The sequence below is a fragment of the Homo sapiens genome, chromosome 8 (genome assembly GCF_000001405.40).
Source record: "Homo sapiens chromosome 8, GRCh38.p14 Primary Assembly".
Lineage (NCBI taxonomy): Eukaryota > Metazoa > Chordata > Mammalia > Primates > Hominidae > Homo > Homo sapiens.
In genome coordinates, this window is record NC_000008.11 from 57,965,972 (window position 1) to 57,992,547 (window position 26,576).

At 37.3% G+C, this 26,576-nt stretch overlaps 1 long non-coding RNA gene across 1 annotated transcript, besides 1 other annotated feature; it reads left to right on the forward strand.

Moving 5' to 3' along the window:
• Nucleotides 8,671–9,208: an enhancer, noted in NCBI's record as "NANOG hESC enhancer chr8:58887201-58887738 (GRCh37/hg19 assembly coordinates)". NCBI's record gives its function as "activates a minimal SCP1, AML or CMV promoter by ChIP-STARR-seq in naive H9 embryonic stem cells {active_cell/tissue: H9 hESC(naive)}" and the evidence as "EXISTENCE:reporter gene assay evidence [ECO:0000049][PMID:30033119]".
• On the forward strand, nucleotides 12,387–18,155 carry LINC01602 (long intergenic non-protein coding RNA 1602). The gene is made up of 3 exons (NR_130934.1): nucleotides 12,387–12,513; nucleotides 14,923–15,043; nucleotides 16,295–18,155. It is a non-coding gene; the product is annotated as a long intergenic non-protein coding RNA 1602 (long non-coding RNA).
• Nucleotides 18,156–26,576: the final 8,421 nt, after the last annotated feature.

A 26,576-nucleotide genomic window follows, 5' to 3' on the forward strand; every position in this document is an offset into this window, starting at 1 on the left:
TTGAATCTGACATTCCAGTACCATAGATAAATACTAAAATATTCATTGAGAAAAAACTCTGTATATCAGATAAATTCATGATCCTGAATATTACTCCAGTGATAAAGTATTGATACTGTTACAGAGCAATCAATATACTCACTGCCCGATGTGCATGGAGGCCAGTACCACGTGACCAGCTGTTGAGAAAAGAAAAGCTTTATTGTGAACTGACTCACAAGGAGAGAGGAGGCAATGGTCGAATCTGTCTCCCTAGGCTGGGCTTTGGGTAGGGTTTTATAAGCGTAGTATTATGATAAATGATCTTATTGGCTCTTGCAATGAAGTAATGCTAGGAGGATCATACCAGCATCCTTTAGATTCTGCCCAGGGGTGATGCCAAGGCTTGAACTGATTAGATACTGGATCCTGCCATGTGCTGTTTACTTCTTAATTCAGTCCCTGCTCCTCAGCCTGAGCACTTAGGTTCCTGCTATGGTTGCACACTTGGTTCATCTGGGCATGCTCAGATTATGTGACCTTCAACCCAGGAGTTTATGGCAACTGAAAAACAATTCACAACTTTGTTATGTAAAAGTTGAACAAACACCGGGCGCAGTGGCTCATGCCTGTAATCCCAGCACTTTGGGAGCATGAGGTGTGTGGATCACTTGAGGCCAGGAGATTGAGACAAGCCTGGGCAACATGATGAAACCCTGTCTCTACTAAAAATACAAAAATTAGCCAGGTGCGGTGGCACATGCCTGCAATCCCAGCTACTCTGGAGGTTGAGGTATGAGAATTGCTTGAGCCTGGGAGGTGAAGGTTGCAGTGAGCCAAGATCATACCACTGCACTCCAGCCTGGGGGATGAAGTGACACCCTATCCCCCCATACACACAAAAAAAAAGTGAACCAGATTAGTCTGATGCAGTTACAATACACTCACTGATGTGCGAGGGACAGGAAAAGTTAAATCATTTAATGTGTTCATATGTGCTAGAAGGTGACAACAGTGTTTTCCACAAAAGGAACTTTGAAATAGCAATATTCCTTAATTTTAAAAGAGGGAATTATGAATTGAATATTTGTATTCCCCCAAATTTGCATGTTGATATTCTAACCCTCAATGGGATGGTAAAAGGAGATAGGGCATTTGGAAGGTAATTAGGTTTAGATGAGGTCCCAAGGATAGAGCCCCATAAGGAGGTCATTAAAGCTTTTTTTTGTTTTTTTTTTTTTGGGAGACTGGGTCTCATTCTTGTTGCCTATGCTGGAGTACAGTAGCTCAATCACAGCTCATTGCAGCCTTGAACTCCTGGGCTTGAGCAATTTTCCCACCTCAGCCTCCTGAGTAGCTAGGACTGCAGGTGTGTGCCACCACACCTGGCTAATTCTTTGTAGAGGTAGAGCCTTGCTATGTTACCAGGATGGTCTTGAACTCGTGGCCTGAAAAGATCCTCTCTCCTTGGCCTCTCCAAGTGCTAAGGTTGCAGGTGTGAGCCACCACACCTGGCCATTAGTGTCCTTATAAGAGAATGATACTAGAGCTTTCTCTAGTATCAAGGTGTCTGACAGTTCTGGCACCCTGATCTCAGACTTCCAGCCTCCAGATCTGTAAGAAATAAATTTTTTTTTAAGCCACTGAGTCTATGGTATTTTTGTTATGGCAGCCCAAAGTGACTAAGAAGAAGAATGGGGGGACCTAATTCAGAGCGACTCTGTTAAAATGCAGGGTCAGGTCATGGTCAGGATCATGTTGCTCTTGTGCTTATAACCCTCCCTTTCTATGACCCTTAAGGTTCTGTGTTCCCTCCTTACCTGCCTGACCTGGTTTTGCATTTTCTAGTACTTAAATGACATGCACCCTATGAAGGAAATGAGTATATACGAACATATTTTTAGTCCAAGCTATGGTTCATTGTTATAAGCATCTGCATATGCCTCAAATCTCTACAAGAAGCTAGGACCAACAATGAGTAATGCAGAAATTCTATGAATGTATATTTCTATGTAAAAATAATTTTAGGTAAAAATAGTCTTAGTAAATCCACTTGAATTCTTTTTCATGTGAATGTATGCTTTCTTCCAATATGCTGTTATGTTTTCCCCACATAATGAACTTCTTAACTAGGAGGACAGAGAATATCTTTGCATCATTTTTACAAGTTTTGGCAAACAGATTCAAGAGAGTCCGTAATACATGTTGTTGAATGTTTGAAAGAATGTGAGGACAAGTCTGAGAGGAAGTACCATATATACAACCTTTTTGGACTAGTCCCCAAACATAGTCAAATTTTCTCAGTCATTGTGTCCAGTTACTCTCTCTTCAGCAAACTCTGTTGATTAAATAAATAAGTAAATAAATAATTGAAAGTCATTGGCATTTAAAATGTTTGAAAAAATAAATACCTCAAGATCAGAACACACACACACAAGTGCAAACACACATAAACACACATTTTAATGAGATCTTTCATTTTAGAGTCTGAAGAACATCTGGTTCATTTAGGGACATATATCACAATCTTAAAGACATGCAGGGCTAAAGCCCAAGAGAACCCAATGCAATAGAAAGTGTATCAGCATTATTGGAAATGTGTTTTATTGCAAAATGGTAAAGATTTATGACTGGATCATGAGGATTAGTAGTATAGTTTTCTCACTTTCTTTTATAAATAAATCATATTAGCAATAGCTTTGTAAAAACATCAGCAAGGTACAGCATGATTTTTAAATCACATAATAAATAGTGACTAGAAACATTACTAAACCAATTAAAATTTATATTGAAAATTCCCTAGTAAATGTACCTATAACTATTTTAGAGTCTGTGAAGAAGGTTTCCAGCATGCTGACCTGAATTTAATTGCTGTTTAATGTATTTTATGCACACCAGTTTAAAATTTTAAAAAGTTATACATAGATTATTATTAAGTGTATGTCGTATTCTCCCAGTCTAGTTGAAAGCATATGAAAATAGGAGGATTAACATAGAAGAAAAGTTTGCTGTGTATTCTTTCATATCCTAAATTTAACAGGTAAAAATATTGTTCATTTAGAAATTCATTTTTCAAAGATAAGTTCTCTGAGCATAAATTTGCAAGAGATCTCTAATGCTATCAAGACAAAGCTAGCTAGCATCCAGCATCAGGGTAATTAACTAAATGTCCATTGTGAAAAACAGACTTCATGACATCATAATGAAAGAAATATTTTAGTATTTGTAACAAATATTCTGATTACACACTGTATATAATTTCCTTCTTCATGAGTTTTAAGAAGATGGGTGAAATTCAAATGCAATTCTCGGAGCCCTGTGGGTGGCGGGGTCAGCAGGTAGGTTTTTTAGAGTCAGGTTTCCCCGTGTGCTGTGCCCAGCTGAGTTCTGTAAGCACAATCTGTAGGGTTTTTTTGCTTCTCACTAAATCTATTTGCTCCTTTTGGGCAAGTATAATACATAATAGAACTTAGGCGATGTTCTTTTAATAATTCTAAATTCAGATAAAAATACTCTCTTGTAGGTAGGATCAAATTATAAAGCTGGGAAATCCTGAACAAAAAAAATATGCTAAGCCCCCAAAACAAATAATCCAGGTGCAAGTTACCTCTTGCATGACTTTTCTCACACCCTCTCAGCCTCTCCGATTATCACTTGCCTCCCTAACTAACATCTGTCATGGGAGGGCGCTAGCCAGGAAAGAGATTCTGCATGGAGGCACCCTCTGAGTTTAAATTGGGGATGACTTCCATTGGCCTCTGTTTTCCTGAGACTCTTGAGATAGTCGTCCTTTCTGTACCCTCTGCCCTCACCTGTTGGAAGCAGGGCCAACTTTGTAAAGATAATAGAACAAGTATATTCTATCTCGGGGGATACTGGGCTGGCTATCTGTTCACACCTTTGGGTTTCCCTAACAGAGAAACACCAGTAAAAGTCTATAAATATGTCCAGACTTACAAGCGTGAGGGAAACAGAGAATAGCTCATATGTTAAAAGACTAAGTTAAGCTTCCCACTTTTTAAGGAAGGATCTGAACACCACTTGATTCACCTTTTCCCAGATTTCCATTAATATCCCTAGACAATATACAAAAAATACATAAAAGCACATATCTACAATGTAAACTAAGGCTGGCACACAATAGGCCAGGGTCTAGGGCAAAATTTTACTATTATTGCATTAATAAGTCTCAAAAAAAAGAATCATGGGTCACACCCCACACTACAGTATGGCTGCGAAGAAAGAATTAGGAAAACATTCTGATTTACTACCACCATCTCTCTCTAGCTAACTCATTCATTTTAAACTTCCATCCCTATTACCCATCAGAGACTGAAACTGCCAGTAGAAAATACAACCCACATCCAACAAGGCAAAGAAATTTTAAGAAAAAAATACTCTAGGTAAGAAAAGAGAGAAAAGTCCTCAAAGAAATGCATCCTAATGGATCTCATCTTTTATGTACCAAATCTAGACCACAAAGAACTGCTTTATAAGCTGTAAGAACACAGTAGGTAAAGAGAATAATACACATCTCTAGCCTCAGCTAAAATAGTGGCCCTAAATAATATTGCGTGCAATAGATGAGACTCTTTCTGTTAGAAATGAGAGAAGTGTGAATCATCTCAAGCCAGAGGGAAGTTTATTGGCTCAGATATTCTATACTGCAGAAAGGGCAGAGGTGACACTGGCCTCAAGGGCAACAACATTCAACTGTTGCTCCTCCTTCCTCCGTCTCTCTATTTTTCCTTCCTTCTTTCCTCCCTCCTTTCCTCCCTTCCTTCCTTCTTCAAACACCTTTCTTCCCCTCTCCTTTCCTCCCCACCTTCTTCCCTCTGTCCCTTCCTTTACTCCTTTTACATACCAGCTCTATTCTAAGTGCAGACAGACATCCTCCACAGAGTAGGGAAACAAGGCTTCCAGTGGCCCTGTGCTCATATCCTGAGGGCACAAACAGCAGAAACAGTCTTCTCCACCAGCTCTATTTTAACCTTGAGAAAGAACACAGAGCAGCTTGGCTTGGGTTACATGCCTACCTCCGTGGCAGGGACAGTAACATGACCAGAATGGCCTGGGTCACACCTCTCTGTCTCCATAATTGGATGCCTGTCAAGCATCAGAAATTATGCTAGGTCAGTGTTAACTTCTTCAGATAAAGCTTTTGTTTTGCTTTATTTTGTTTTTACAGCTTTATTTTGGTAAATTGAAGTGCAATAAACTTCACATATTTAAAATGCACAATTTAGTGAGTTTTGACGAATGTATACACCCTTGAAATCATCACTACAAGCAACATAATGAACATTTTCATCACCTACAAAATTTCCTCAAGTCTCTTTGCAACTTATTCCTCTCTATACCACTTACCCAGGAAACCAGTGACCGGTTTACTCTTACTAAAGATTAGTTTGCATGTCCTAGAATTTTGTTTAAATAGAATAGTTTTTGGACTGGCTTCCTTTGCTTAAGATAATGAGTTTGAAAATCCTTTAATCCCAGCATTTTGCAAGGCCGAGGCGAGAGGGTCACTTGAGGCCTGGAGCTTGAGACCAACCTAAACAACATAACAAGATGCTGTCTATACAAATAAATTAAAAATTAGCCGGTATGGTGCCATGCATCTGTAGCCCTAGCTTCTCAGGAGGCTAGGCAGGAGGATCACTTGAGCCCAGTTCAAGGCTTCAGTGAGCTACAGTCATGCCACTGCACTCCAGCCTGGGTGACAAAGTGAGACCCTGTCTCAAAAAATAACAAAGAAAGAAAATCATCAATGTAGTTGTATACATTAATAGTTTGTTGCTTTTCATTTCTGAGTTGTATTCCATTGTACAGATATACCATAATTTGGCTAGCTATCCAACTGCTGATAGACATCTGGGTTGTTTTCAGTTTGGCCTATTACAAAGTTGCTATGTGCATTTATGCACAAGGTTTTATGTGGACACATGCTTATGTTTTTCTTGGGTGATTACGTAAAACTGGAATGGCTGAGATGTTTGGTAACTTTTTAAGAGTCTTTCAAATTGTTTCCAAACATTTTTACATTCCTGACAAATTCATTTTACATTCCCACCAGCAGTGCATGAGATTTCCAGTTGGTCCATATCTTTACCAGCACTTGATAGAAACAGTCTTTAAGTTTTAGTCATTCAATTGGGTTTGTAGCAGTATTTCAATATTGTTTTAAATTACCTTTACCTCATGATTAATGATGGTGGCTATCTTTTAATGTGCATATCATCCATTTTTGAACTGAACATGAAAGTCTTATTTAATTGGGCTTTTCTTTTATTCTTAGTTATAATAATTCTTTGTATGTTTTGGGTATCAGTTATTTGTCTAATATATATATTGTAAACATTTTCTCCTAGTCTGTCATTTACCTTTCCATTGTATTTTTTTCCTTTTATTTTAAAAGAGATGGGATGATCTTGCTCCACCTCCCAGGCTGGAGTGCAGTGATATGATCATAGCTCACTGTAACCTTGAATTCTTGTAGTTTCAGCTTCCTGAGTAGCTGGGGCTACAGGCATTATGCCCAAATAATTTTTATTTAATGTTCTGTAGAGACGGGGTCTTGCTATGTTGCCCAGGCTGGTCTCAAGTGATCCTCTTGGCCTCAAGTGATCCTCTCACCTTGGCCTCCCAAAGTGCCAGGATTACAGGTGTGAGCCACTATACCTGGCCCTTTTTCATTTTCTTAATGGTGTATTTCAAAGAGCAAAGTTTTAACTTTTGATATAGTCTAAATTATCCATTTTTTATTTTGTCTTTCATGCTTTCAGTGATCTGCCTAAGAAATTTTTGTTTAATTCAAGATTGCAAAGATTTTTTTCCATGTGTTTTCTTCTAGAAATTTTATAGTTTTGAATTTTATATTTATTACTATGACCCATTTTCAGTTAATTTTTGTTTATGATATGAAGAGTTGAGATTCCTTTTCTTTTTTTGACACAGATATCCAGTTGTTCTGACACCATCTGTTAAAAAGATTTACTTTCTTACCATTGAACTTCCTTGACATCTTTGCTTAAAATCAAATGATAACATACATGTAGGTTTATTCACAGAACATGGAAGTAATAAGAAGTACCATTGGAAATCATCTACATTTCAGACACACTATTTATTCTGTTCCATTAGTATGTGTGCTAATTTTTTCACTAATACCAAAATGTCTCAATTACTGTAACTTCAGAGAAAGCCTTAAAATCAAATAAGGTAAGTCCTCCAACTGTCCTCCAACATTGGCCATCTTTTTCAAAATTGTTTTATCTATTTCAGCCCATTGCATGTTAATATATATATTATAGATTATTTATTTTATATAAATAAGTATATATTTATATAAAATATATAATCTATAGTATATATAATATATAAATATGTATTTATATAAAAATAAATACATTTGTATATTATATATTTATACATATTTATATATTTATATATACTTTAATATTTATATATAAATATATATTTTTTTAATCAGCTTTTAAAATATTTACAAAAAAGCACACTGGAGTCTTTATTGGAATTACATTGAAGAAATGTACATCTTCAATTTGGAGAAACTTATATCAATTTCGAGAAACTTACATCTTCACCGTATTGGGTCTTCCAATCCATGAACATGGTATATATCTCTCCATTTATTTATTTAGGTCTTCTTTAATTCCTCTCTGCAATGTTTTGTAGCTTACAGTGTGAAGGTCTTGAAACTTTTTTGTTCAATTTATTCCCAAGTGTCAGCCAGGGTTCAAAAAGAGAGTCAGAACAACAGAAACTTTATCTAATGCGATTGTAGGAGTTTGAGACTATTGTCTTTGTGTTTAATGCTGCAACCTAAACAGAACAGGGCAGGAAATCATGATGGGAAGATAGTTGTAAAGTGGGGAAGAATAAAGATAAGTTGGAATCTGTAAGGACATATAGTTCTCATTACCTTCACCTGAATGCAATGTGTGTCCTACAGAGGCTGACACCCTGAATCATGGACATCAACACACAACTGGCTCGATAGTAGAAGCTGAAAGAGGATTCAAGGGAAAAGGGAGCAGTTGCAGGCCTAGGTGTTTCCCACATCTGTGAGGTTAGTCAGCTGATGAGCAGCAATAATAGGAGTTAGCTACAAAAGGTGTCTACTCCAACTTCTCAAGCATATATACAAATTAGCTGCTGCTTCACTTCTGCATTCCAAATCTTACATGAAAATATGTCTTGTGGCTCTCCGTAACTGGAATTATACAGGGAAGGGAATCTTGGGAAACAGTACATCCTTGCAAAGTTGACACATTGCAAAACCACCCCAGCTCATTCCTTCTCAACTTGTCATCCATACATATCTCTTTAAAACATACTTAGCTTTCAAATATAAATCATCATAACATTACTTTCAACCAAACATGAGCCACACAACAAAATCAAGGTAATTATTTCCCCAAAAGTAGCCGTAAAGACCCTCCTTTTTCTTAGATTGTTTATCTTCCTTCCAGATGATTAACACTCTTCATTTGATGTCTTGTAAGTCAAAGACATAGATACTGAGATAAAGTTAACTATTATTAACACATGTTAGAAAGGAGAAGACTGGGAAAGGGAAAGAAAATAAAAATATAAGAATAAGGAATACATACTCATAACTATTGCAGTACTCAGACCTCTAACTGGTTACATAGTCATAGCTTGGCATTTTTAACTAAATTCTTCTACTGCCTATTCTACATTTCCTTTGCCTTCAGGAAGCACCTCAGCTGTTGATGGTTCCTTACCTGATGAGTAACCAAAATTTCCAATCCTGAAGGGTCTGTTCATTAGCATTCCTGCTTTAAGTTTTTGAATTTCCGTTGACTTTAATCTCAGAATCTGAAATTACTAAGCAGTGCCTGAGGCAATCTCCTGCATTCCAGACAAACTACCCCTACCTGCACTGTGAAGTAGCAACCTAATTGCCCCTTAATTGTTGTGATCAGTCATCACAGCTAGTATTGTAATAGCTTCTTTGCCTGGTGGCAAAGACTTGAGGATCCTGTGGTAGCCAGGTGACAATCTCAACTTCCAGCTCAAGGCAATTGTAACCTCTGATAGAAGCTTTCCTCATTTTGTAATTAAGTCCTCTGGTAAGCAGAGTCTAAAGTTGCAGGAATAGAAGGCACAGATTTTTCTCATGGATCATTAGAAGTCAGAGTAAGACATTTCCAATCTTTGATTTCTAGATTCTTGGGTTGGGAAGAAGCAACTGATTTAGAGCATATATTGCATCCTGGAGGAAATTTCTCCAGTCACCTAACTGACACTATAACTAAGTCTTTAAAAGGCCCCTCCACCAGTTGCTTCAGAATGGTGGAAAACAGAGTAAGACCAGTGAATTCCATGAGCCTGGGCCTATTACCACATTTCATTGGGGCAACATGAAGTAGGTTCCTTAATGGAAGCAATGCTGTGTGGAATAAGGCATTCTGTAAGTCCATGGATGGTGGTTTTGGAGAAGCATTACAGGCAAGAAAGGCAAATCCATATCTTAAGTAGTTGTCCATTGAAGTGAGAACAAACCATTGCCCCTTGCATGATGGAAGTGGTGCAATGTGATCAACCTGCCACCAGGCAGCTGGTTCATCACCCTGGGGAATGGTGCTGTACTGGAAGCTCAGTGTTGGTTTCTGAGATAGGGCACCCAGCAGGGGCAGTAGCCAGGTCAGACCTGGTGAGCGGAAGTTTATGTTGCTGATCCTATGCATAACTGCCATCCTTGCCACTGTGGTCATTTTTTCATGAGCCCACAAGGCAGTGACAGGGATGGCTGGGGGAATGAAGCTGACTGGTATCCATAGAAAGGGTTATCCTCTTCACCTGATTATTCATTCCTCCTCTGCTGAGATTGCTCTTTAGTAAGCATTCACAGGGAACACAAAATAGATTCACATTCTTTACCTTTTCTCTCAGGTCCATTTACTTGCCTCTTCCCTTGAGGGTGGCATTTGCACCACCCTGAGAGTGAGAGCCTCCTTAAATGTTGTGCCCTGGGCACCTCACTTGTCTCACACTAGTCCTGGCTGAGATTCATGTCTCCCAGTCCAAGTTATCAAAAAACTAAGCAAATTCTATTTTAGAACTACTAGTGGTGACTTTTTTTTTTTTTAAAGAAATCGAGGACAAAGAGAAAGATGCCAGGAGACTAAAGAGAAATACTATGGATCAATCCTATCTAGAAATTTCAGGAACCATCCATTCACTCATGTCTTTACTTAACATCTACTGCATTGCAGCCTGGGCAGTTTGGGTTTTATGCTGAAGACAGTAGGAAGCCATCAAAGAAATTTACGCTATTTTAAATGAGGCTATAATGCATGTTTTTTCCCCTGCCAGGAATGTTCCACTCACTTGGCTGGCTTCATTGTGTCATTCAGATCTCAACTCAAAGATCACTTATTGAAGTGGCTTCCTTGAGCTCCCCATTTTAAATAGCAAGATTCTCCCCCATAGAGAATTTATCATATCAATTTATATTGTTGCCTTCATTGCATTTATCAAAGTCTAGCAGGTTTTCATTTAATGAAGTTCAACTGGAATATGATGGGGGTTTCTTTTTCCTAACGCCTATTTTTCTGAGAAGATTATTTCATACCATTCACAAAGACAAGGCTGTTCACATCTAGACTCTGCCTAGACTTAGAGTGGGCGCTGCTGGTCCCATATTCAACTTCCTTCCTTCTTCTTTTCAGGGGGTTGCAGTCTCCAAGCTAGAAAGAGAGCTATTGGTGAAAGTGAAGAGATCAAATAGGGAGGCCGTTGTTTGTTCTCTGAATGGTACAGACTCATTTTCTGTCGCAGTTGGCAGGAAGTGAGGGAGAAAATGCTGAATTTATTCTTGTTGCAAGAATGCAACATTTATTCTTGCCAATAGCTTTGCTCCATTTCTTCTGACCAAATAGCTTCAGGCTAGCAATTGCAATTCTAATTCAATGCCACTGATTTTTTAATACTTTATGGAAAATTATCTCAGAGTGTTGTCTCACTTTTGAAATAGGTTGACAGTTTTGGTCTTTTTGTTTTATTCTTAGCATCATTATAGGTTTTTTAGAAAGAGGTTAATGGGAATCACTTAGGAGCTACTACCTAGACAATATTTAAACCACTTCAACCTCCCCACTCGTAACCCTTGGATTTCTTTTACATGTGCTGTTGGCTACTTAAGGGTATGTTATTTGTTGCTCCTATAAACACATGAGGATGACTTTATACTTATACCAATTAAACTTCACTCTGTAGATTGGGTTTTATTGTTCCAACTTGTTGAGATCTCCTTAGAACCTGTTTCTGTCAGGATTTTTTGTTTGTTTGTTTTGTTCAATTATATGCAACTTTATATTTTCTGAGATGCAATAGGCTATGTTTCTGATTAAAAATTTTAAAGCGTTATTTAAGTCATTTCTTTGTATATCTTTTAGAAAATTTTAACTGAAAGATAACTTTCATGCACACATATACTTAGATATATTTAATTAAAATGCTATTTAATACATATTTACATTTTATATATTTAATTAAAGTATAACTTAATATACGAATCTTAAATGTAGGCTTGCTGAATTATAAAGTGAACCCTCATGTAACAACCACCTATTAAAGAAACATCAAATTGCTAGAACCTCTTAAGCTCCCCCTTTGCTGTCTCCCAATTACAAATGCTAGTTTGTTCCCCAAAAGTAACTATTATCCTGACTCTAAAACCATAGATTAGTTTTCCCTGTTATTAAACATTACATAAGTGAAATTATAGGGTACACATTCTTTTGTATTTGGCTTCTTTTAGTTAATGATGTGTTTGTGAGTTTCACCTTTGTGGTTGCACATATCAGTAGCTAATTTATACTCATGCTCTTTACTATTACATTGTATGAATACACCACAACTGACTTATCCATTCTACTGTTGAGGACATTTGTTTATCCCCATTATTTAGCTCTTATAAATGTTATTGCTATGAACATTCTTATGCATGCAGTTTTTTGATGTATATCTAGAAACAGAATTGCTGGGTCTTAGAATACGAGTGTGCTAAATTTTAGTAGACATTGACAAAGTACATGTAAAAATTAATACTCTTACCTACTGTGTATCCAAAGTCCAGTCATCTTATAACCTGTTCGCTTTTTTGTTTTTTGTTTTCTAATTTCAGCCATTCTGATGATTGTGTAGTGGTAACTTAATGTAGTTTTAATTTACATTTCTCTGATTTTTGTGTACTTACTGATTGATATGGTTTGGCTGTGTCCCCACCCAAACCTCAACTTGAATTGTATCTCCCAGAATTCCCACGTGTTGTGGGAGGGACCCAATGGGAGGTAATTGAATCATGGGGGCAGGTCTTTCCTGTGCTATTCTCACGACAATGAATAAGTCTCATGAGATCTGATTGGTTTATCCGGAGTTTCTGCCTTTGCTACTTCCTCATTTTCTCTTGCTGCCACCAAGTTAAGGAAGTGCCTTTCTCCTCCTGCCATGATTCTGAGGCCGCTCCAGCCACGTGGAACTGTAAGTCTAATTAAACCTCTTTTTCTTCCCAGTCTGGGGTATGTCTTTATCAGCAGTGTGAAAATGGACTAACATGCTGATTATTTGTATATCCTCTTTTGTGAATGTCTGTTGAAGTATTTGTCCAGTTTTTTTTGTTGTCTGTTAAAATCTGTTGAGTTCTTTTCATACTTTGTATATGAATCTTTTGTCAGTTGTATGTATTGTAAATGTCTTCCCCTACTCTGTGGTTTACCTTTTGATGAAGAGAACTTCCTAACTTTAATGTAATATATTTTGGTTTATTATTTTATTTATGCCAGCTCAATTGCCAAATCCCCAGTTGTTTTCTTTGTGCCTTTTTTATCCAATAAGGTTATGTTACTTTTAGTAGCTTATAGCTTATATCATCATTTTTACTAGAAAAATGATCTATAAATTGTGAAATTTTTATGTTTATGATAAAATATCTCTTTCTCTGTTTTCTTCTGCTAACTATAAAATCCCTCCTGGCCCTAAAAGGAAATAACAGCATTTCTGGTACACTTTGGCCCATGCTCAATCACATCAGGCAATTGGGAGGGTTTTAATTCACTCATTAGACAAATAACCCTGTTTGAACATTAGAGAATCATAAGGACTTCTGCTTTTAATAGATGGTCTTGATTATCCAGAACTAATTGTTTTATAACTTAATAAGGCTACAGTACTCAAAAGAATACTGAAGTATTTTGCTTTTTAAATCTGTGAAGTTCTTGATAGTAAAACAGAATATTTTGTATTTCTAATTGATGTCACCCCTTCATACCTAGTCCTTTACAGAAATGCAGAACAACTGATCAGCCTGTTCTCCATCATACCACCCAGGCGCTTATAAAAACTTTAAGGGTCTGTCTCTTTTCAGTCCTCCTATAACCTACTTCCAATTACCTTTGCTACCTTTAAAATGTGATAGTAAAAACTAGACGGTTTTGTCTACTGTTTCAAAACTTCTTGTTTTCAATGTAAGAGAAGGGCTATTTCTCAGACTTTGAAATTAACATTTTTTGCCAAATATACCTTTCCAGTTTCATATTGACATTTTTAAAACAAAAGGTCTCAAAACTCTTTCATATTTAGCTATGATCAAGTGAATGAGGTTGGCTGTCATTAATCAAATATCACTTTCCAAAGGTGTTTTCCTCAGTGGAGTGTTTAACCAGAAGTTATATGGCCATCAGCCCACAATGGTGTAGGCATTTTAATATGAGGTTGGACAAGATATCTTCTAAGATCTCAGCTAGGATCATTTGATACCCAAGACCTTTCCTGCCAGCATTTCTTCAGCTTCTATTTATATTGTATTTTCTATTGTCAGTATTTATCATTTTTCCCTATTCGTATCATCTCACCTCTACAATACAATCCATTTTCAAGTTCTCTTGGCTTTACTCCAAAAATACAACCTAAATGTGTTAAATGTTTTTTCATATTCATTACTGCCAACTTGGTGCAAACGACTGACCTCTGCTTCCTTGGACTATTGTGGAGTTTCCAGTCTCCCAGCTTTACTTCTTATGCACCTCATCACTTCACCACTCCCCATTGTGATGCCTGAGCTGGAGTGACCTTACAGGAACATAAAGGGGATTGTACAACTTCCATGATTTTTCACTCAGGAATAAAATAAAATATCAAATAAAATGTAAATGTCCTACAATGGGCTTTTCTCTTCTCCAGCCTCATCTGCCACTACTCCCTGTTCACTAAACTTATATTCGACTTCTTTTTTTCTCAGACACACCTACCTCATTCCTGCTTGAGAGCCTTCGCAATGGCTATTCCCTCTGCCTGAATTCACTTTCTTCTCATCTTTACATGGCTGGTTCCTTCTACTTCCTAAGATCCCAGCTCAAATGCCAACTCCCCAGTGAGCCCTTCCTGACCACCTGATCAAACTAAACTCCACACCTCCATTGTCATTTGAAACTTTGCAATATACGTTGGCTGAATGAATGAGTGAATTAATGAACAAGAGAATGAGTGAGTGAGCTCTCTTTACAATATGTCTATTCTTTTTGCATTTTCCTCTAGTCTTCTTCCTAATTCCAACTTTTTTTTAAAAACGACATTACATATAACTTACGCTTACAGTCTGTTGAGTACGTAACTGTTAAGGCATCATCCTGCTTTGTGAATTCCAAATCTATTTCTATACAATCACACAAACATTATCTTCAGCATATAAATGTTTTAGATTCTTTAATCTTTGATTAGCTGCGTTGCTGTGAATGATTGAGTGGCTTTGCCTGTCATTTGTTGAAATATCAAAGATACTTCCTACTCTTTCTGCTATCGAAGTAGCTTTATAAATACCTGAAATTTCTCTTTTAAAAAAATGTATTCTTAGATTCTCTTTTAAGAGTTTTGAAATTTTTCTTATCATTACAGAGGAAAGAAATCCAAGTAAATCAAAAGGAACAGAAACTAGAAATATACAGGCATACTTGTGGCTGGAGTTATTCCACTACTTGTACATTATGTGGCTTACCTCAACATGTGGAAAAATACAGTAAGTCCTTCATTGTGCAGAGTGTAGTTACAGTATCATGTAACTTAGGCAGCTTATTCTTTCTTGCAAATATTTTATGATAAACACAAAATATGCTGTAATCTTTTCTGAATAATTAACATCTATTTGCTTAAAAGAATATTTTTTAACCTACAAAAGCTCTTTTTTTAAAAAAAAATTATTTTTCTACCTTCTCCTTACCTTAACCAAAAAAAATTCCAACCCCACATACGTGAGAAAATGCCTTTAGGCTTATTGAAGTCATTTATTTATGGGAGTATACAGAGTACCTGTCCATCAGGAAAGACAAAAAGAAAAAAAATCTGAGCTATTACTATACCAGATTTGCTTACAAGAGAAAATGTTCAACTTTTCTACTCTAGATAACTCACTGTTTGTACTATTATTGGGGAGGAGAAATTAATGTGTACAGTGTATCCAGAGTTTATGCCCTACGTATTATGTTCCTCAGTATAAAATATTTTTAAAAAATGGTTCCCAGAAATCAAAACTAATTAATTTTGATTTAATTTCTGACAGTTTCAAAGGTCCCTTGTCAATTTTACTAATAAGCAAAACAAACTTTTCTTTTTGTATTCAATCTTGAGAACATAGAAGGTCTTAAACATCTATTTGCTTAATTTTTCTTTGGGAATCTTAAAATTTCATAGGGGCTTAATATTTGTAATACTTTTGGTTTAGATATGCTAATCTAAATGTTAAATTAAGATGATTTCAAAAGTATAGGCTGAAATCTTTTCTTCAAAATTTCACAGTTCTTTTTATGTATCATTTCAAAATAATTGTTTTATATAAAAATGTGTTGGATATTAAATCATATAATTATGATTCATATTATGGCATATTTTAATTTTGTTTTTATTTGTACATTTAATTGTGCAAGTCAACAAAAATAAAAAATAACAATACTATTCTATATTAAAGTTAAAGAAAAATAGCTATTAACTCTTATGGCCATCTATAATCTCTTGAAACGTTTTAAAAGTGAGCATCCAGTTGATTGGTGTGCTATTGGCCATCACCAGTGATTCTTATTCTCATCATTTATGCACTTGCTTTCCTTTTTATAACCTTTGTCTATCATGGACTCTTTAGAGAAGTTAGCAATCTTTTTCTTATTTCCACCTTCTTTAATTCACAATGTAATTTTTCTACCAGAGGAAACTTATTTTCCTTTTTTTTAACGGTTTCATTATATGAAGTCCTGTTAAAACTTTGTTTCCTGACCAGGTGCAATGGTGCATGCCTGTAATCCCAACACTTTGGGAGGCCGAGGCAGGAGGATCACTTGAGCCCAGCGTTTGAGATCAACATAGCAAAATCCCGTTTCTACAGAAAAAAAAAAATTTGCTGCATGTGGTGGTACACATCTGTGTTCCCAGCTACTCAGGAGGCTGAAGTGGGAGGATCACTTGAGGCTGGAGGCAGAAGTTGCAATGAGCTGAGATCTAGCCACTGCACTCCAGCCTGGGTGACAGATTGAAACCCTGTCTCAAAATAAACAACAAAGAAAACTTCGTCTCCTGCAGGAAGCTATCATAATCCTGACTGCAAGCCACCTATTTGAAACTTATTTGAGTTAGATCTTACGTTATATTTATTTGACCTTTTTCATCTGTCCAGTTTTCTTCTTGAGTTTATTCAGTTACCTAAAGAAACTGAAAATTACTTGTAGATAGAAATCACATTTCATAATTTGCTTATAATTCCCCTCAGGCCTTCTGCATTTTATGCATATTGAACATTACACAATTTAATGAATGGATCATTGGAAAATCTCTCATTATGTACACGATTATAGATGCAATACATTTTCATAAGTTATATAATTGTTTTATTTATTTTTACAATTAAGGCTGAAGATTGAGGTCTATATGCACTAATCTATTCTTGATGCAATGGTTTATTAAAATGCCCTTTTAAATTATAGTAAGTTTTTGCATTGAAATTGGTTTGTCCTTGCTTAACAGATTCGATCATTAAGAACAGTAAAGAGTTTCTCTCACTGAAATCATTAATACATTTACTTATACAGAGATAGATAGATAGGTGCTGGCATATACTTACAAGCTTATGAATAACACAGTTAGTTGCTTCACATTGACTCATTTCAGAAATGTCACTGTAAGTCACAAAATATTTTGTGAAATGATTGTAGTATACTTTCGGCTACAACACTGAGTCTGTTATACCTGAGAAGAAATTAGACTCTGTGGGGGGAAAAAGACAGAAAAATTTCCAAAATCAAATTTTTAACACCAGGGTTGCTGTGAGCCTTACCCCAGGGGGTGCCGTTTGTGGCATGGTCTGTGGAGTTAAACAGTGTAGGCTATGTGGTTTTATATGGCAGCCCTGCAGAAACCAGAGAGTATACAAAAAGGTATCATAAAATTTTGAACTTTAGTGCCACTGCTCAGTTAAGTAGTCTTCAAACTCTTATGGATATTTAGTCAATCTGTTGTAATCCATGATGTTAGAATGTACAATGGTCCTTACCAATCATTTTATTTGGTAGAAAAGAAAAATAAGATATATCAATGAGAAGTAAATTATATATTTAAAATACATATACATAACATAGAATTAAGAAATAAAGCACAAAATATATGACAAGCCTCTAAATATTAAGTACTTTTCATAGTCTAAATTTCTACTACTATACCGTAACTAAGGGAGGAGGCCACCCCTCATATTGTCTTATGCCCAATTTCTGCCTCCAAAGAAAAAAAAAAGTGAAAACTAAAAGGCAGAAATGACACCCACAGGAAGACAGCCCGGCGCCACACCCTGGGCCTAGTAGTTAAAGACTGACCCCTGACCTAATCGGTTATGTTATCTATAGATTACAGACATTGTATGGAAAAGCACTGTGAATATCCCTGTCCTGTTCCGTTCTAATTACCAGTGCAGGTGCATGCAGCCCCCAGTCACATACCCTCTGCTTGCTCAATTGATCACGACCCTCTCACACAGACCCCCTTAGAGTTGTAAGCCCTTAAAAGCGTCAGGAATTGCTCACTCAGGGAACTCGGTTTTTGGAGACATGAGTCTGCTGATGCTCCTGACTGAATAAAGCCCTTTCCTTCTACAATTCGGTGTCTGAGGGATTCTTGTCTGTCACTCGTCCTGCCATATAACCATTAAAATTGTGTCTTGCTTATACGAGGATTACATCTCAAAATAGGAAAATATTTTGTAGTGATATTTCAGTCTCCAAATAAGACCATCATTTATGGAAGTTAAAATTAACTACTTCTGCTAAATTAATACAGGTTTGAGCTTTCATATTAACTATATGTTCTGGGTTTTTTTATGTAACAGTATCTTTTAGACACTATTCAACCACATAGAACATTGAAAATCAAGATTTATAACCTAACATTATTTTTTAAAATGCTTTCTAACATAAATCCTTTTTGTAAGACTTCAAGGCACAGGGAAATAAACATAATACCTACTTCATCAACACCTTACTTGGTTAAATGCAAATGAAAGAGTAGATTGTATATGTTTGTATAATATAACCTCTCCGTATTTATAAAGCTACATGGAAAATGCAACTAATGCTGCTATAGTCTGAATGTTTGTGTCCGCCTGAAAATTCACATGTTAATACCCAATCTGCAGTGCAATAGTATTAAGAGCTGAGGTTTTTAAGATGCAGTTTGGTCATGGGAGCAGAGCCCATATGAATGGAATTAGTGCCTTTACGAAAGAGCTCTGAGGAAACTTGTTTGCCCTTTCAACATGTGGGTACTTAGAAGGTGTCATCTATGAATCACATAGTGAGGTCTCACCAACCGCCAAATCTGCCGATGCCTTGATCTTGGACTTCCAGACTCCAGAACTGTTGAGCAATACATTTTTGTCATTTATAAGCCACCCAGTTTAAGGTATTCAGTTATAGCAGCCCAAACAAGACTGAGACACATGGGAAAAGAGGGTGCATAGGTATACATACTCACTGTGATAGTTTTATGTCAATTTGATTGGGCTAAGGGATGCCCAGATAGTTGGTAAAGCATTATTTCCGGGTGTGTCTCTGAGGGTGTGTCTGGAGGAGATTAGCATTTTGATTCGTGAACCAAGTAATGCAGATGGCTCTCCCTAATGTGGGTGGGCATCACTCAAGCCACTAGAACTTGCAAAAAACAAAAAGGCAGAGGAAGGGCACATTTGCTTTTTTCAAGCTGGAAATATCCATCTTCTCCTGCCCTCAGACATTGACACTCCTGGTTCTCACGCCTTCAGACTCAGACAGAATTACTCCACCAACTTTCTTGGTTCTCCAGCTTGCAGATAGCAGAACATGGAACTTCTTGGTCTCCATAATAGTGTAGGCCAATTTCCATAATTAATATGTATTAATTTATATGGGAGATACTGTTAATTTTATAACAGTATTATAAATAATAATAGATCTTATTTATTAATAAGAGATACAAATATATCTCTATTGGTTCAGTTCTGCTTCTCTGAAGAACCCTGACTAATCCACCCACTTTAGCCCAGTTTAATAGGCCAATTTAATTAGTCTAGAATAGAAGACATAGACTGTCTGTATAATTGATCGGATGCAGCTATAGGTTAACTTAGGCCATCTAGGAAAACATCTTTCAGGATCTGACAAGCTCAATAGTTCTTCTGCCTCTGCTCTTTTATACTTGAAGCTTACATTTCCTTTCTGGAAAACCTAAAATTACAATTTAAGAAAATATTACCTAGGCCACAGTCTCCTAGGGGGAGAAAGCAGAGTTATCTGTGAGGCATACCCAAAGAACATCTCTGCCTCCAGGTTTCTAGCATTCTGAAAAGCTCACTTTCCTGCATTCCCCCACCAGCCCCACACTTGTGCCTGGGTGATTCACGCATTGTTTAGTTCAAGGACCATCATCACAACTCTACTTTCTGAAATATAATATTTGATGTAGAGAAAAATAACACCTTTTTTTCACTAGAAATTAACAAGAATATTTTGCCATTCATATTCTTAATTATGTGGCTTTGTGAATCTTTCTAAATCCACATAAGAGTCAGATGTTGCTATAATCCCTCATTCTCATTCTCTCCTGGCTTCTGATGTGTGTCCTCAGTTGGGAAAGATGCCTTCGTGGCTTTTGGTAGCTGCACTCAGATTAGGGGTTTCTCCATGATAACAGTGTGTTCTGTGCTCAGGACTCAGTTGTGCAGGAAATGTTGCAAAGCAGAGATTCCATAGCAGTTCCTAGGGATGAGAAGTTTCTGCATGTAAAGTGACACAGTAATTATAACACTATCAGAATGTGTATTTATCTCAAAGAGTATCAGATGAAGCTTTGTGAGCTGCTTTGATTTTTCTAAGTAATGAGGGAAATTTCAAAAGGGGTTAGCTACATTACCATCCTCATGTAGTTGACAGTCTAGTGAGGTTAATAAGGAGCCACCCGAGACCATATTTGTTCCTCAGGTACTTAATTGCATTGGATAACTTATTAGTGCATAGTGGAATTTGAGTTCTGAGAAATAAACCATCATCAAATCCAAAATAACACAGGAAGACCTTCTAAGAATAGCACAATTATGACATTTACTAAGAGTTTGGGAATTCGGCCAATCCAAAATTCCTGAGAAGTTATTATGCTTCGTGATTATGAGAAAATTGTGTTAATATTTAAAATTTCTGCTTACTAGTTAGCATAAAACTCCTAACAACTAAATAGGAAGTAGAGGCCGTCAGAGAAAGATGTGCATATGGATAAATGTCACAGTTATACATTGATATTTTTGCAGCCTATGTTGATGTGTGTGTGTATCCATACTTCTACCAAAAAAAAAAAATCTAAAGGGCAACATATGGTTTACTTTATCCCCCCCCCAAAAAAAAAATTCAACAAACTCTGATTTAGCCTTCCTATATTGTCACCAGATAGTTCAGAAGCTTTTGGATTGGGTGGAATGATGAGCTTGGTAGTAGAATTACTCTCTCCCCTACCCTATTCTGTCTTCTCCTAACTTCTCTCCCTCTATTAATTCCTCCACCGCATTCCTCTTCTATGACAAACTAGCTGGGAATTTGCAAAAGTAGATTTTTGAAAAGGATATCTACTTAAAAGTCTTGGCTGCTAGTGGTCAAACTAGCAGAAAATTCGGGAAATGTGTAATTTGTGAATATGTAAAAATGATTTGGGGACACTAAACTACTGCAGAGAAGATTGATTTTTTTACTTCTTTGGGGAATGGAAGAATAACCATAGAAGTGGTAATAAATAATACACTTGACTGGTTGTTTGATGGCATGTTTAACTGGAAAAGCTATCGTAAGATGCGAATAACGAGATGGGTGAGGGAAACACTGAAAATGAGAGATTTGGTGACAGAATGAATGAGAGAGGATGAGTGGGTGAATAAACTAAAATTCACATCTACACCAAAAGCACTCTGATATTTTGTGAAAATTTTCCTGTAATTTGCAGGTGATTTCTACAAATGTCAGAAGTACCATTGCTCATCCATTAGACTGATACAGACAACTGAAAAATAGAATGCCTACATGAAATTCTGACTACGCCTTTACCAAACATTTAGAAGTCATAACATACATGTTAAAAAAAAAGTTCTGGAAAAAATACACTTGAACTCTAAGACTTACAAGTCTGTGTACATAATTTAAAATTGTTTTAAAAGAGGAAAATAGTGATGATGTGTTGGTATCATCGGTAGCCCAGAAACCTAATATTCCCTACTTGTCTTTCTCTCCTTGTTTTCTCTTGCTTGCTATCTATTTTGTTCATTAGCTTCTCTGCTATATAATGGTAGAAAGGAGAAAAAAATCATTTTTTGACTATTAATGAACTGGCTTAATATTTGATTAGGAAGAGGTTTGAATGAAATTAGGGATTTCAGTAATTCATGCCACCCTTGATTTTTGATTCCAGGGAAAATGAGAATTGGTGAGCTCTATGCCAAATAGATGGATTATATTTCTATTAAGTAAGCACTCTAATGTTCTAAATTTTTCTTACCACAAATAGTTTAAAAAGAAGTCACATATTTAGTGCCTTATTTCATACTGTAAAAATATGAAAGGTGCATAGATTAACCTATTATTCCACATACAACGCAAGCATAATCCTGACATCATAATCCTTTTAAAATATTTGTAAATCTGAAAGTAGGTGAAAGTATCATGCCAAAAAAAAAAAAAAATAAGAGCTCATGTATTTATTTCATACAAGTGGACACAGCATCTCAGTTCCCAAGCATGAATCAGTTTTATAGCTGGAAAGAACCTAAGCAGTTTCAACCCCCATCTGCATAATTATTTGGTTATTCATAATATTTGGCAATCTAGAGTTCTTCAGGCAATTTTTCATTCTGTTCAATGTCAGTAACAGAGACAAAAGTTAACTCAGTTCAGTCCGATTAAATAGACAGCATCTATGTGTCCTCCATGGTCTCAGTTTCTGGGGAGCAGTCCTTATTTTTTCTTGTTATTGATCAGGTCCCTTCACTGGGTCCAACAGCTGGGTGCCAGGGACATCATCTCCTTTATCTGTGCTCTTGTGGTAGCAGTTTCCTGCTCCTGCCAAAATCTAAGTCAATTTACTTTGTGTTGTTTGCCTTTTCAGCTCTCTAGGACCTTTGGAAGTCGTTCCCTGGGTTAAATTATCTGTTTCCAGCTGAAACCTGACTGATGCATTTGGGGATAATAATAACTTTGGTTACTGACAGGTGATAGCAATGAGCATTGGGGGTGGGCGGGGGGTGGGGGGTGTCCTAGGAAATACCCAGGTGGAGCCAGGTACAGTATTTCTTGTGTGTTTACTTTTTTAAATTTTCATTCCAGCTTAGACATAAAATGCAATACAATACAATACAATACAATACAATACAATACAATACAATACAATAATGTCCTAGCGATGTCAAATTGCTGTAAAAGCTTGTAAACACAGGCTTGGCGCCCTTTCTTTTTCTCCTTCCTTCCTTCCTTGGTGCCCTTTCTTTCCCTCCCTCCCTCCCTCCCTCCCTCCCTCCTTCCCTCCCTCCCTTCCTTCCTTCCTTCCTTCTCTCTCCGTCACCCAGGCTGGAGTGCACTGGTGCAATCTCAGCTCACTGCAGCCTCCGCCTCCCTTGATTTGACTTCAAACAATTTTCCTGCCTCAGCCTCCCGAGTAGCTGAGATCACAGGTGCACACCACCATGCCTGCCTAATTTTTGCATTTTTAGTAGACATGGGGTTTCACCTTTTTGGCCAGGCTGCTCTCAAACTCCTGACCTCAGGTGTTCCACCTGCCTCGGCCTCCCAAAGTGCTGGGATTACAGGCATGAACCACCATGCCAAGCATTGGCTTTCACTTTCTAAATTCATCTTGTGCTAGAGTAGCCACACACAATTCACGAACCACTGCTGCTGGTCCACAGACAGCTCTTTGAGTAGCACTAGCCTAGTAGAGAGCTAGAAAAGAAAACTGCTCTGCAGATTAGAAAAAGATGTGGAAGTTAAACATAAAATTTTGGAGTCACTGGCGAATCAGTAGTAGTTGAAAACATAGAATTGGAAAATCAAAAAACCAATAGGGAGAGGAAATGGACAGACAGAAGTAGGCTAAAGGCAGAGCGTTAGCAAACACCATACTTTGGCCAATGGCAAGTAGGTACTCTGCAGAAGCAAAGACTAAAGGTGAGAACTGAGATGACACAGGAAGAAGAGAAGCACAGCTCCCCAGCATGGCATTCCGGTGCCTTGCAGGTGGTCTCCTGACCCTGCATGCCTCACAGAGGCACTCAGTTCAGTACAACCTGCTGATTAAGGCTGGCACAGAAACATATTACCCGTTTTAGAAAGAATTTCATCAAAACAGTTAACATAAAAGGGTTGGGGTAATTTACTTGGAAAACTCACTCATGAAGAACACTGCCTTAATTGATGATGATACTGATAAATCTGAGCAGCATCCGAGTCATCGAATAGAACTTTCTGCAATGATGGAAGCATTTATCTGCGCAGTCCAACAGGGCAGCCATCAGCTGCCTGTGGCTACAGAGCACTTGAAAAGTAGCCAGTGTAGCTGAGAAACTTGCAATTTATTCTCATTTACAAAATAAAGTTTTTAATTCAATGAATTTAAACTAAATGTCATGAGGCTGGATGTGGTGGCTCACTCCTGCAATCCCAGCAGTTTGGGAGGCCAAGGCAGGTGGATCGCCTAGTTCGAGACCAGCCTGGCCAACATGGTGAAACCTCGTCTCTACTAAAAGTAAAAAAAAACTTTGCCAGGCGTGGTGACACGTGCCTGTAATCCCAGCTACTTGGGAAGGTGAGGCAGGAGAATCTCTTGAACCCTGAAGTCTGAGGTTGCAGTGAGCTGAGATCATTGCACTCCAGCCTGGGCGACAGGAGCGAAACTCCCTCTCAAAAAAAAAAAAAAAAAAAGGAATTAATTAATTAATTAACTTAATGTAATGAATGTAAATTCCACAAAATTTTAATTCATTTAAATTTCAATAGCCTCATGTGACTACTGCTCTCTTATTGTATAGGTAATATGTGAGATTCATTGGCAAGCTTGGCTTATAGTAAAGATATGTAGGCTTTGGGATCACATGGGCCAGGCTTTAAGTCCTCTAATCACTAACTCTGTGATCTTGGATTTGTCTCTTTCCTGGGCATGAACTTCTTGTTCATAAAATGGTAATCAATATTATGTACATTTAGGGCCGTTGTGACCACTGAAAATGAAAATGAAACATATAAACTGCTAGCACAAAGTTTCAATAAATGGTAGTTATTAGTATTAAATGATGGAGGTCAGCATTCAAGAACATAATTCGATCGTTTTGATCTTCTGGTCGCCAGCCTGAACATGCACTACGCTGAGAAACAAGCAACATGAGGGAACCCCCAGGGGCTGTTGCCCAGGATGGAGTGGAGTGGCCTCTTAGTCCAGCAACTGACAATGCTTTTCTATTTAGTGACTCTCTTATCTCAGCCTTGCTGTGAGCTGCCTTTTTTCAGTGTGATTGCTTCTAGCAAATCCTCCAGCTCCTCCTAAGGTGCATTCCTCGCTGCTTTTTTCTATTTCCTCAGAAGAACTATGGTTGTTAAGGGGAAAAGACAAATTGAGCTTGTTCAATCAATAACTTTAATTTTACATACAATTCTAAGACAATGGAGTCTGATCTGAGGGCTGAGGGGTTCTCAAGTCTTTTTCTGTGGAATTAAGAGCACAGATTCACAGACTTTGTTTACCTTAGCCCTGCCAGATCGCTACAATCTCTTGGGCAGATCTTTTAAAAAAAAAACAACACAGGCCTATCCGTTCTCCCTCAACCTAGAGACCTGGCATTAGTTGGGAGTACTGCAGGTGATTGTGTTTCGTGGTCTGAAAACCGCTGATGTATGCCAGGATTTCAGGGGGAGCTCTGGACAGACAGGGTGGTCTGACTGACCCTGGGTTAATTGAGGGACTGCTGTACCACTCTTAGGCAAGAAAATGGGTACAAGCATCCCACTGATCCAATACAGGCATGCTGGGGGTACTCTGGATATTTGACTGACATTTTCCCTGGCATAGCCAATCATTAGAACAAGTGCCACTTGGAGCGGGGACTGGATTCCAGAACTCTTTATTTTTTTACTTTTCCTCTGAAGCTGCTTTGGTTGTTTTGTTTTCAGAGATGCTCTCCTTTTGTGAGGCTTGCATCTGTTTATAATATGTTATTATTCAGCTTACGGGCTTTTATACATTTAAAGTTTCCCTAGTTGTTGACACAACTTAGGTACGTACCCATCTGGAGAAAGACTAGTGAAAACTCTGAGCTCATGTCTTTTCAAGCTCACATTTTCCCGTAAGAAACCATTTTGGCAGTCAGAGGATTAGAGCTAATAACTGCATGTCCCTAGGCTCCCTGCTTGCTAGGAATAGTCCCACTGTCCAGAGTCACCTGTGAATAATGGTTAAATTACATTCTGATTCGTGTATGGATGCTTGTTTGGGTACTAGTCAAATATTGTTACATACTTTTAGAGACAGAAACCTCTGTGAAACAAAAGAATTCCAAGCCTAGGATAATGGCCCACTTCTGAAGAATAAACAACACAATAAAATTCTAGTACAAACAACTAATTTCAACATTCTCTGAAAATCTGTAGCAGTCCTTAACATTTTCAGTCCCCAAAACAAGAAAACTATGTCCTAAATCAGCAAACATTAGGGATTATGAGAGCAGTTTTATTGGCATAATTGATAAGACAATATTTACTGAAATATTCCAGCATAGATGTTTTACTGTGTTCTCTCTGTCTCTTTAACCACATCTTTTATTGGTTTTTGGTTTTGGTGATGACAATTTGGGGCTATTAAATCTACACTGGGCAATAGTAAAACCCTAAATGAGAACCTTAATAATAAGAGTTAGGGGTCCTACTAAGTGAACTCCTTGGCATATACTTTATTATCAAGAAGTAGTTTAGGCAATAGAAAAGCTAAAACTTGGTCGGCGCAGTGGCTCACGTCTGTAATCCCAGAAC